This window comes from Homo sapiens, chromosome 1, assembly GCF_000001405.40.
Source record: "Homo sapiens chromosome 1, GRCh38.p14 Primary Assembly".
Classification (NCBI taxonomy): Eukaryota; Metazoa; Chordata; class Mammalia; order Primates; family Hominidae; genus Homo; species Homo sapiens.
Window position 1 is genome coordinate 24,106,282 of NC_000001.11, and position 11,646 is coordinate 24,117,927.

Here is an 11,646-nt window from a genome sequence, read left to right on the forward strand (position 1 = left end):
TAGCTGTGGGACCATAGGCAGGTCCTCAGTGTCCTTATTGGTAAAATAGAGATGATAACAAAATCCCTCACCCACTGTGGGGGTGTGGGGGTGAAAGACACGGCACTGAGAAAGCCTGTGTAAGTGGAAGCTGGGGAGGGAGTGTGGAGAGTGGCTCAAATCCTGATACTCATCAGGGCTAGCGTTTCCTGAGGGTCTTCTGTGTTCTAGGCAATGGGAAAGTCACTTTCCAAACCCAGTCTCCTTTAAATCCCACCTCAGCACTGAGAATTTTTACAATGACGTCTATTTTACTTTATTTTTATTATTATTATTTTTTAAGGTGGAGTCTCACTCTGTAGCCCAGGCTGGAGTGCAGTAGTGTGATCTTGGATCACTGAAACCTCTGCCTCTTGGGTTCAAGCGATTCTCCTGCCTCAGCCTCCCGAGTAGCTGGGATTACAGGCCCAGGTAATTTTTGTATTTTTAGTAGATACAGGGTTTCACCATGTTGGCCAGGCTGGTCTCGAACTCCTGACCTCAGGTGATCCGCCTACCTCGGCCTCCCAAAGTGCTGGGGTTACAGGCGTGAGCCACTGCGCCCAGCCCAATTTTACAGATGAGAACACTGAGGCTCAGTAACAGGGATGCGCTTGCCCGGGGTCACACCACTGGAATGTAGGGGCATCAGATGCAGACCCAAAGCCTGGACTCTGCCCTGGATGTCCCGCCTCTTGGGAAGGGGGTGAGGATGGCAGCAAGTGGTGCGTCGCAGGTCCCAGGCCCTGGGGCTCCACGGCCCACCCCCTTACCCGCCGCCTCAGCGTCTTCCAGTCCCGCCTCTGGCGCAGCAGCCGGTGGGTCTGCAGGAAGGCGATCTCAGTCCTCTCCCAGTCATTGCCGAAGCCCACCCGCTTCTGCCCTCGCTCCTCCAGCTCCACGGCAGAGGTCTGGCGTCTCAGCTGGGCTTCCCTGCCGTGACAGAGGCCATCGGGGCTCAGGCAGGGATGGGGGATGCCTGGGGCATCCTGGCCAGTTCCATTCCCTGTGCCCAGCAGTGCCAGGATGCTTTAAACTTTTGGAGGACATGCATGATTTTGCATCTTCCCTTGCCTCCAAAACAGCCTGGAAGGGCCCTGCTTGCAGTCAGTCCTTAATAGTTGACTGTTTTCATTGTTTTCAAGGCTCTTTCACAAACCTTTGTTCATCTTGTTTTCACGACAGCCAAGTGGCCAGGCCTTAGTGTCCCTATTTTATAGGGCAGGGACTGAGGCTTAGCAACTTGCTTCAGGTCAGCCAGGACCACCACCCAAGCCTCCTAGCCCAGGGCCCTGCCCCAAGCCGAACGCTGCCTCTCCACGCCGGCACACTCAGAGGCCTCCTCAGTCTCTGGCCTTGTGGGAAACTGGGGCCTGGTTTACTTGCTCCTTCTGTCCCATTCTTAGCCCCCTCCCCCACCACGTGAAGCCCAGAAGTCTGTTGGTGAAGTAGGCCCCTACCCTCTTCCTTGGGAACAGTCCCCCGCTATGACACGTGCACCCTTCCAGAGGGTGGCATGTGGGCTTTGAGGGCAGGTAGCCCTGGGCTTAAACTCCTGTCTAGACCCTTATTCTAGATGTGGGATTTTGGGCAGGTTCTTTACACTCGGGGTGAAAGGCCAGCAGGGAGGCCGGGGACTGGACAGGATGGCCCCTCCTCAGCCACGGCTCCCTGGGAAGCTTCTCTGACTCACCAAGACAGCTCGGAGGAGGCCGTCAGAGCCAGGGCTGCTGCCAGGGCGTAGTCCGCGGCGCTGAACTCATGCTCTTCTTCGCTGCTCCCAGAAGGAGGGGAGTAAATGGCTCTTGCAGGATTGGCTGGGGGCTCCCTGAGATTAGGGCTGCATCTGCCCACCTCAGCCTCAGGGCACCAGCAGGCAGGGCTGTGCCTCCCTCCTCATACTGGGGTCTCAGAAAGCAAGGCTGCATCCCCCCGACCCTGAATGTGCTTCCCTCCTCAAACAGGGTTTCCAGAGGACAGGGCTGTGCCTCTTCCATCACATGGGGGTCTCCAGAGAGCCAATTGTGTCTCCCCCCTCAGACAGGGGGTTCAGAAAGCAGGGATGTCCCTCCCCCCATCAGGTTGGAGCCTCCAGAGGGCTAGGCTGGGCCTCCCTCCTCAGACTGGGGGCCCTGGGAACAGGGCAGTGGCTGGGCGGGGACCCTGTGGCTCCCACCTGCTGCGGAAGGTCCGCCTCCGCACAGAGGAGCCCATGCGCAGGCTGTGCTGCCGCTCCTCCTTCTGCTCCTCCTCCTGCCGGTGCTCCAGCCTGTGAACCTCCATGGCCTGGGGGGGCCGGGGGTCCCCCGCACCTCCCAAGCTGTGCGGCAGAGTCATGGTTACGAGAGCAACAACCTGTGAAGGCCAAGGTCCACGGTCATTCCACCAGGTGCCCGCCTATCCCCTCCCATGCAGTCTTCCCAACATCTCTAGGAGGCTGGCAGGATGGGGGGTGGGGGTGTCCTCTCTGCAGTCGGCAGACAGGGAAACTGAGGTCTGAGAGGGAGAGGGACCTGCCCAAGGTGACAGAGGCAGGCCTTGGGCTCTGAGCCAGGCTTCTCCTCCACCCCATGTGCTCCCCAGCTGAGTGAGCAGAGCCCCCACGTTAGGGAGCAGGGCCCTGGCTTCTAGCTGCTTCCAGCTGCAGCCCAGCCCTTGTCTCACTGTATGATCTGTGGCAAGGTTTTCGCTTCTATGGGCCTCAGCTCCCCAGACAATGAGTAATTGAAACTGTGATGTCCACGGCTGTGTCTATGACTCAGGACGGGCAGGCGTCCCCATTCTTCCTGCACCGGCCATGTTCAGTCCTACCTCTGGGCCTTTGCCCACGCTGGTTTCCTCTCCCGGCACACCCTTCCCCTCCTCCTGGCCCGCTTGGCTCTAGTCATGCTTCAAACCCCAACTGAGGGCATGCTAATTAGCAGAGAGACTCTGAGTCCAGCCCACAGGGTGTGATCCCAGCTCCTTATCCCAGCTTTCAAGTGTGTAACCTTGGGAAAGACTCATGACTTTGTTTCCTCATCTGTAAAATGGGTCTACTAACCTCCCAGGGTAGTTGTGAAGGTTAGATGAGTGCTTGGGGCTTAGTAAGTACAACATAAGTATTAGGCATTAGCATTATTTTTCTAAGAAGCCTTGCAGAAAGACTACAGGCCACCTAGAATTTTCCCTCTTCTCATTTCTTTTGTACTTATTTTCTAGCACTCCACAATTTAGCATTGATTCAGACAATGCTTTCTCTATGTAATTATTTTGTATCTGTGCATCTTGACTGTTCAACAAGACTGTAAGTGAATTAAAAGTAACAATAGTGAGAACTTACTATGTTCCATGCCCATGTTAGTTTTCAAATGCATTATCCCCAGTCCCTGCAATAACCCAAATGAGGACAGCACCATTATTATCCCATTTTACTGATGAACAGGGGCAGTACTTGCTCAAGGTCACCCAGCATGATGGTGGGGCCATGACTGGCAGCCAATCCCTAGCCCAACCCCTAGCCCTTCTGATCTCTATGTCATATGTCCATTCAAGGCCAGGCCGTGGCAGAGGCTGGGGACACGGTGGGCCACAGGGCCTTTCTCCTTATAAGGGGATTGCAATGTACACATCTCCTTTGCATTCCCAAGGCTCAAGTCTAGGCCCGTGATGGCGCCCAGTGGGGCCGGATCAGATTGACCCAGGGGAGGCTCAGGAAGCGGATCCATGGATATGGAGAGGCAAACGAGGGGTGTGGGAGGCCCGTGTGCCCGCTGGCTGTGGGTTTTTGCACTGAGTTTTCTCATATCCGGGCTTCAGTCACTGCTGGGTCTCTGAGGGCCCCCCTGATGCTAAAGCTAAAATCCCTGGAATGGCTTTCACACCTCCTCCAGGTGGGAATCCTGGTCTGCAGGCTTCTGGCATGGGAGGGTTCCTGCCCAGGCGTGGGGATGGAAACAGAAGAGGGATGACCGCCTGCCTTGGCCTGCTCCTGTCAGCTTCTGTGGGGTCAGCTCTGTCTGGCCCCTGCCTCTCTAGAGGGTCCTGCTGGAGGTGGCAGCGTGTGTGTGTGTGGGCGTGCATGTGTGTGTATGTGTGTGTGTGCGTGCATGTGTAGGCTGTCTTCTGCCTGGATGTGAACACAGCACCTAGGTGACCATTTCTCTAAGTCCATGGCATGGAAGGTGAGCCCACTGGCTTTATTGGAGAGCCGTTGGCCTGGAAGGGGCATGTGGTGGAGGTGTCTGGGGCTCGGGCTGTGGAGGGTCAGTCTTAGTGGGCTTTTACCCCTTCTACTTCCTAGAAGTTTGCTCCTTTTGGGTGTCTGCAGTTGTGGGCATCAGGAAAAAGAGAATGGATGGCTGCAGGGTTAGCTGGGACCAAGGGCTGCCCCCTAAAGCTCCCTGGGCTCCTGCTAATCATCTCAAATGACATAATGGGACAGTCACCCTCTTTGGCTTCGTATCACTCCCTCCCGATGGAAGAAGTTCTCTTTGCACCCAAAGAAGTGGCTAGCCCTGCTCATTCTGCTCTTTCTTCCTCATGGCCCAGGAGGAGAGCTGCTGGGTACCACCCTAGGTGGAGCAAGGACCCCCCACTCTGCCCCAGCTTTCCTGGGACACGATGGCCCTGGCTCCAGTGGCTGAGAGTTAACATTCCCTGGCACCAGCCACTGGCTCCCTTCCCCTGGATGCTCTGTTCCCGATTAGCACAGCAGGCAGGGGCCTGGCGCTCGTCCCTGACCTCGGGGCCTCCAGCAACCAGACCCCTGGCTTTAGCGGATGAGCTACCAATTCTTTTTAAAGCACTGACTGATGCGTGGTATTAAGCAGGGACAAGTTTGCGGCCTCACTGCCCTTTCCCAAAGGACCAGGGTGCCTCTTCCCGGAACACTGTGTGTGCCTGCGTGGAGGGGAAACTGCCCCCGCTTCCCTCTCTTGGGGTGCAAAAATCTGGGCCAGAGGTCCCACTGCGTGGCCTTCCCTATTCCCCTCTGCTTTCCTCCCAAGCCTCCATCTGCCGAGGAGGCCTCTCCCCTTCTTCAGGAGGGAAAGAGGAATGCACAGCAGTTGAGCCAAGACCCCTCCAGGAGCTGCGATGGGGGCGGATGGTGGCTGGGAGCAGAGACACATCCTGCGGGCGGCGGGTGGCACAGGCTGGGACGTGTTCTTAGCCAGTGGCTCCACCAGCTTCCGCGAGGCCGAATCCTGCCCTTGCCAGTCATGAGCTGAGGCAACTCCTTTCCCGTCTGGGCCTCGGTTTCCTGTCAGGCACTGGATGAAATCCCTTCCAGCTCTAAGATTTGGGATCCGAGGGCTCGCTCTCTTTCCCTGCCTGTGGGGTTGGCCAAGCCGGGCTCAGCCAGCTCCGCTCTAAGTTCGTGGAACTTGCCAGCTTAGCCTGGCTCCCGCTTATCGCTGCTCCATCACAGGAAAGACTCCAGTTCCCAGGGCAGCCCCCACTCTTTTTTTTTTTTTTGCAACTTTCACATCACAGACAGCTCAGCTCTCAGAAGACCCAGGGCCACACAGAACAGTGGGATGGGGCAGGGGTTTCTGGAATCCCCTCCCATTTTCACTTGGGTGCTGCCTCAGCACAAATTTCCCAGGCTCCTTTCACAACACACAACACACATACACACAAACACACACACGTGCACACACACACACACATGCACCCACAGATATCACTCCCCAGTGGCTGACTCTTAGGAGGCATCCCTCCCCCACCCTGATTTCTGGGGGTGACTCACAGAAGCAGTGTGCCCACTTAGGAGTCTCTGGGGAGAAGATTCCTGAGGCCGAGAGGGTCCTTGTTCTCTTCTTGCCCTCGGCTCAGCGGGCACCGGGAGAAGAATGCGATCCCGGAGACTGCACCGTCTTAAATATAGCAGCACTGAGACAGTACAATGACAATGGATGAGAACTATGGCATCGGGGACAGGGGGCCAAGGGGAGGGGCCATTCCGTGTCTCCAGCCTGCTGGGCAGCAGCGACAGGTGGAGCTGTCCGCCGCGTCCCCCCACACTGCTCCTCCTCTCAGCTGGGTCCTTTCTGCCCAACCCAAGCCCCTGTTAAAATGGAAAGGAGGGAACGGCTCAGGCATGGTCGTATGGAGGGCAGATCCCGTGCGGCGTTCTCAGCTGTCGGGAGTTCTGATCTGAATTCTGCCCCGGCTGACTGGGTGCCCTGGGGAAGGCGCTCAGCTTCCCTGAACTGACTGCCTTCTGAAAAACGGAGACAGTGAGACTGGGCACCTGGACTTCATGAAGACGGTGGAAGGAATATGACCTAAAAGTGAGTGTTTCGTGCTCAGAAGTTGTCACTGGCTAAAACAGCAATGTGTGGCTCCTGGTCCCTCCACCACTCCGGTAGTTACTACACGGCCCCCGCCCTGACCACAGTCATGTGTGTGTGGTGTGGTGCAGGCAGGAGGAGCTGGGGAGCCACCTACTGCTTCACTGTGCAAACTGCTCAGGCTGCCAGAGTGTCCCCTGAAGGGCCTTCTTATAGGGTAAACGCACCTGACAGGGATAACTGAAGCACGCTCCAAGAATGACCCTGTGTGGAAGACCTGAATATGTGTTCCGAGCTAAGGAATCTGGGGAGTAGCCAACCCGTTTCTTACCTACGATGAATATCTGAGCCCCCGTCCCGTCCCTTCTGGTGGAACGCTGGCCATACAGGGGATTGAGGCCCTGAGTTTTGGGTTAAATGAAGATTGCCAGGTGGAGGTCATTAGGGGATGGTGTAAAGTGAAAATGCTCTATAAACTGCATGCTGTTTGCAAGGGGCTGAGGTTTTCCTGCCCAGTCGGCCGCCACTGGTATGTTGTCCAGCCCGCCGCCCCTGGACCATTTCTGTATGTAAGGCGGTTCTCCTGTCCAGTTCATCACCAGTGGACTCTCTCTCCTGTAGGCAAGCCCCTAACAAACCCCCACGTTCCTTCCTTTCCTTCCTTCCCTTCCTTCTCTCCCTTTCTTTTTCTTTCTTTCTTTCTTTCTTTCTTTCTTTCTTTCTTTCTTTCTTTCTTTCTTTCTTTCTTTCTTTCTTTCTTTCTTCTTTCTCTTTCCTTCCTTCCTTCCTTCTTTCCTTCTTTCCCTCCCCCCCTCCTTCCTTCCTTCCTTCCTTCTCTCTCTCTTTCTTTCTTTCTTTCTTTCCTTCTTTCCTTCTTTCTTTCCTTCTTGAGTCAGAGTCTCACTTTGTTGTCCAGGCTGGAGTGCAGTGGCATGATCTCAGCTCACTGCAACCTCCGCCTCCTGAAACCCCCATGTTCCGTTTGCTGGCTATGGATCTTTTCTTTGGCCTCTCAAACCTGGTGCCTTCCCTACTGAGGTTAATAGGTGTTCGGCACCACACCTCTTCCCACCCTTTGCCCTCTCCTGCCATTCCCTCAGTCTCAATTCTTTCCCCCTCACATTCATTGGCACCTACCCTATGCCAGACCCTAACCTACAGGGGAAGTCAGGCACTTACGACAGGAGGTGATCAGGAAGGTGCACCTGGGTCGAGTCTCAGAGGATGAGCCGGTGAGGGGAAGGCTGTACCGGCCCCTAGCCAGAGAGCACAGCTTCCCTCCCTCACCCCTTCCTGCGACCTCAGGTGGCCACCCACACTACACCTGTCACTCTTGCTGGTGCCTCAGGGACTCCTCACTCGAGAGAAGGAGAGAGAGAGCACAAGTGAACTTTGCAGGCAAAATCTGAATCCCCTGCCCTATTTGAAAACCCCTTTCTAAGCTCTTCTGTGGCTCTCTCTTACAGCATCTTTTGGGAGAGAACATTTCTCTCCCATCTTCTATTGACCCAATCGAACAAGGGCTTTCCAAGACTCATCTTCATACATTTGCTGTGAGGGATGAGTGTGAGTGAATCCGTACGAACAGCAAAGAGGGCTTTGAGCTTCCAACTGAGCAGGAGACAGTCATTTAAACAGGTCCTCTAGCCCCGTCCTCCCAAGGCAATCTGGGGAGATGAATGAAGGTGCACTGGAGAGACAGGGTGCATCCTGGAGTCAAACCGGCTTAGGCTTTCAATTCAGTCCCACCACTTATTAGCTGGATGACCTTGGGGAAGGCACTCAGCCAGTGTGGTTTGATTATCTGTACAGTTGAAGACAACAATTTCCACTTAGCTGTCTCATTGAAAATGTTCAATCAGGCTGGGCATGGTGGCTCACACCTGTAATCCCATCACTTTGGGAGGCCGAGGCGGGTGGATCACCTGAGGTCAGGAGTTCGTGACCAGCCTGGCCAACATGGTGAAACCCCGTCTCTACTAAAAATACAAAAATTAGCTGGGTGTGGTGGGGGCGCGCCTGTAATCCCAGCTGCTTGGGAGGCTGAGGCAGGAGAATTGCTTGAACCCAGGAGGTGGACGTTGCAGTGAGCTGAGATGGCGCCATTGCACTCCAGCCTGGGTGACAGGAGTGAAACTTTGTCTCAAAAAGAAAAGAAAAAAAAAAAGAATAGAAAAGAAAAGAAAAGAAAATGTTCAACCAAGAACCGTGAAACCTCCAGCACGGCGTCTGGCCCCGGACAGACGTTTGCTAAATGAAAGCTCTAGGAATGCTGATGGCTTTCTCTTACCCCATGCTTCTGGGGGTGGGATTCCCATGTATCCCTTTGTTGACCTCACCCCAGTGAAGCACTCAGTCATCACTGGAACCTCTGTAAACATGGCCAAGCCTAAGGTCATGCGGCTGAGCAGAGAGATTAGATGACTTGATGTTATACAAGCCTTGGTTTAAATCCCAACCTCTGGTGCCTCAGTCACTAACAGGGGGACCTTGGCCTCCTTTCTGGGCCTCAGTTTCTTTCTCTGTAGGTGGAGGACACATTCCAAGATAGCAGAGAACTTGCCTGCCTGACCATATCCCTACCCCCGAGAACAGTGCTTGGCATACACCTGGCCCTCAATTCACATTTATTTACAAATGAATCAGTGGGCTGGGCGCAGTGGCTCACGCCTGTAATCCGAGCACTTTGGGAGGCCGAGGCAGGTGGATCATGAGGTCAGGAAATCGAGACCATCCTGGCTAACAAGGTGAAACCCTGTCTCTACTAAAAATACAAAAAATTAGCAGGTCGTGGTGGTGGGCTCCTGTAGTCCCAGCTACTCAGGAGGCTGAGTTAGGAGAATGGGGTGAACCCGGGAGGCAGAGCTTGCAGTGAGCTGAGATGGCGCCACTGCACTCCAGTCTGGGAGACCAGAGAGAGACTCCGTCTCAAAAAAAAAAAAAAAAAAGAAAAATGAATCAGTGAATGGTTACTGTCTTAGTTCGTTTGAGCTGCTACAACAAAATACATTAGACAGGGTCATTTATAAATAACAAAAGTTTATTTCTTACGGTTCTGGAGACCAAGAAGTTCAAGATCAACGTGCTAGCAGATTCAGTGTCTGGTGAGGACCTGCTCTCTGCATCATAGATGGTGCCTCTTGTGGAGTCCTCATGTGGTGGAAGGGGCTAGGGCACTCTCTTCAACCTCTTTTATAAGGGCATTAATCCCATTCCATTTTTATTTTTTTCCCCGAGACAGGATCTTGCTCTGTTGCCCAGACTGGAGTGCAGTGGTGCAGTCATGGCTCACTGCAGCCTCAACCTCTTGGGCTTAAGTGATCCTCCTACCTCAGCCTCCTGAGTAGCTGGGACTATAGGCACGCACCACCACACCAGGCTAATTTTTGCGTTTTTTGTAGAGACAGGGTCTCACTGTGATGCCCGGGCTGGTCTCAAACTCCTGGCCTCAAGGGATCTTCCCACCTTGGCCTCCCAAAGTGCTGGGATTACTGGCTTGAATCACCACCATGCTGGCCTCTTGATCCCATTATTGAGGGCATAGCCTTCATGGCCTTCCAAAGGGCTCACCTCTTGCTACTATTACATGAAGTTTCAACATATGAATTTTGGGGGGACTCCAACATTCAGACTATAGCAATTGCCTATCTTGCAGAATGGCTGGGAGACTCAGATAAGGTTAAATGTGTAAAATACCTACTATAGTACCTGGCTTATCTTTCTTCTTTCTCCCCTTGCCTTCTTTTCTCTTTTATTCCCTTCCCTGGACTTATGACCATTAAGAACAAACTGACTGCTCTGAACCTCCATGCTGTTTCTCCGACAGCAACCAAGCCTGTGGCTTTCTCCCCCTGTGTGGCGACACTGTACCTGCTTCAGTCTCCCGTCCCTCCCTGTCGCTCTCGGAGTCCAGTTAATTGCAACTGCTGTTCTTCTCATACGGACTGGCCAAAGCATATCTTCCTTACTCCCCCTTCCTCCTTAGAGTGGGAAGGAAAAATGGGCTCAAGTAGCCAAAGGAGCTGAGCAGCAGCTCTGGGGTCTCAGAGTTGTCTCATCAGCGTCAGCACCAGCAGGGGAGGTGGGGGCTGCCTCCATCTCTCTGGCAATACCTGCCTCAGCTTATTGTTTCTGTCCCATGGTCTGGAATGCAGGTGGGGACAGCGACAGGGGACAAGCATTGGTGACATCAGGCCATAGTCTCCCTGTCCAGGTTGACACTCAGACTTGGGAGGGACAGAGGCTCTGGCTGTCTGGAAATCTGGAGGAGCTCCAGTCCTGCTGGTCCAATTCTCTGGGTGGAAACTCAGGCAAGCCCTGTATGTTCCTAGAGTCGGGAGCTTGGGAGGTCAGAGGTTTGCAGGCATCACAGCCATGCAGTACCCCCACCCTCAACTCTGTTGCAACAGCGGGTGTAATGGGGGTCCCTCTAGGGCGCTGATTTGAGGCTATGGAGAGAGAAAGTGATGGTGTAACGGCACTGTTCCCTCAACTTGCTTCAGAGGAATCACCAAAGAAGTTTATGAAAAATGCAGATACCCCCCAGCACTTTGGGAGGCCAAGGTGGAGGATCACTTGGGTCCAGGAGTTTGAGGCTAGCCTGGTCAACAGGGTGAAACCTGTTGACAAAAATACAAAAAATACAAAAGTTAGCAGGCATGGCGGTGGGTGTTTGTAGTCCCAGCTACTTGGGAGGCTGAGGTGAGAGGATCACCTGAGCCAGGGAGGTGGAGGCTGCAGTGAGCTGTGATCATGCTACTGCAATCCAGCCTGGGTAACAAAGTGAGGCTCTGTCTCAAAAACAAACAACCAGATTCCTAGAAACTGTGAGTTTAGCAGGTCTGGGGTGGGCTTGGGGAAGCTGTATTTTTAGTAAGCTTCCCAGAGTATTTTCATGAACTAGGGCAAGTAATCTCTCTGAGACACATTTTCCTCCTTTGCGAAATATCAATAATACAACCTATCATGGAGAGAAGGGTACCAGGAGGATGAATGATCAAGTACATAACGGCCAAGCAACACGGTTGACTTCTTCTCTTTCATATGACTTTGACTACTGCTACTATTATATTACTAGTCATTTATTCCTGGGCTTGACTGTGCCATACCTTGTAGGCAAGTGAAAACTTGGAGAATCACCTCTCTTGCTGGGCAGGGTGGGGCTGTGGAGATTCCTGGAAATGGGATCGGACCCAGGACTCTCAGGAACGATGAGGTCCCCAGCCAGCTCCAGGGTATGCGGACGCTCTGCCTTCTGGCTGGTTCCAGCTCTATCTGCAGGCCTGGGCTGCCTGGGAGGCATGGGACCTCAGGGGTCATGCAGTCTGGTCCCCGCCCCTCAGTGCAGACAGGT

General features: G+C 54.0%; 1 protein-coding gene across 1 annotated transcript in view, besides 2 other annotated features; it reads right to left on the bottom strand.

Annotated features, from left to right (window-relative positions):
• MYOM3 (myomesin 3) overlaps positions 1-5,854 on the bottom strand; it is a 56,095-nt gene extending 50,241 nt beyond the window's left edge. Inside the window, exons 1-4 of the mRNA NM_152372.4 lie at positions 5,750-5,854; positions 2,195-2,373; positions 1,712-1,792; positions 792-951 (exon numbers count right to left, since the gene is read on the bottom strand). Coding sequence (NP_689585.3) covers positions 792-951; positions 1,712-1,792; positions 2,195-2,355 — 402 coding nt within the window. The 5' untranslated portion in view covers positions 2,356-2,373; positions 5,750-5,854. The remainder of the gene's footprint in view (positions 1-791; positions 952-1,711; positions 1,793-2,194; positions 2,374-5,749) is intronic.
• Positions 827-1,367: an enhancer, noted in NCBI's record as "H3K4me1 hESC enhancer chr1:24433598-24434138 (GRCh37/hg19 assembly coordinates)". NCBI's record gives its function as "activates a minimal SCP1, AML or CMV promoter by ChIP-STARR-seq in primed H9 embryonic stem cells {active_cell/tissue: H9 hESC(primed)}" and the evidence as "EXISTENCE:reporter gene assay evidence [ECO:0000049][PMID:30033119]".
• Positions 6,056-6,564: an enhancer, noted in NCBI's record as "H3K4me1 hESC enhancer chr1:24438827-24439335 (GRCh37/hg19 assembly coordinates)". NCBI's record gives its function as "activates a minimal SCP1, AML or CMV promoter by ChIP-STARR-seq in naive H9 embryonic stem cells {active_cell/tissue: H9 hESC(naive)}" and the evidence as "EXISTENCE:reporter gene assay evidence [ECO:0000049][PMID:30033119]".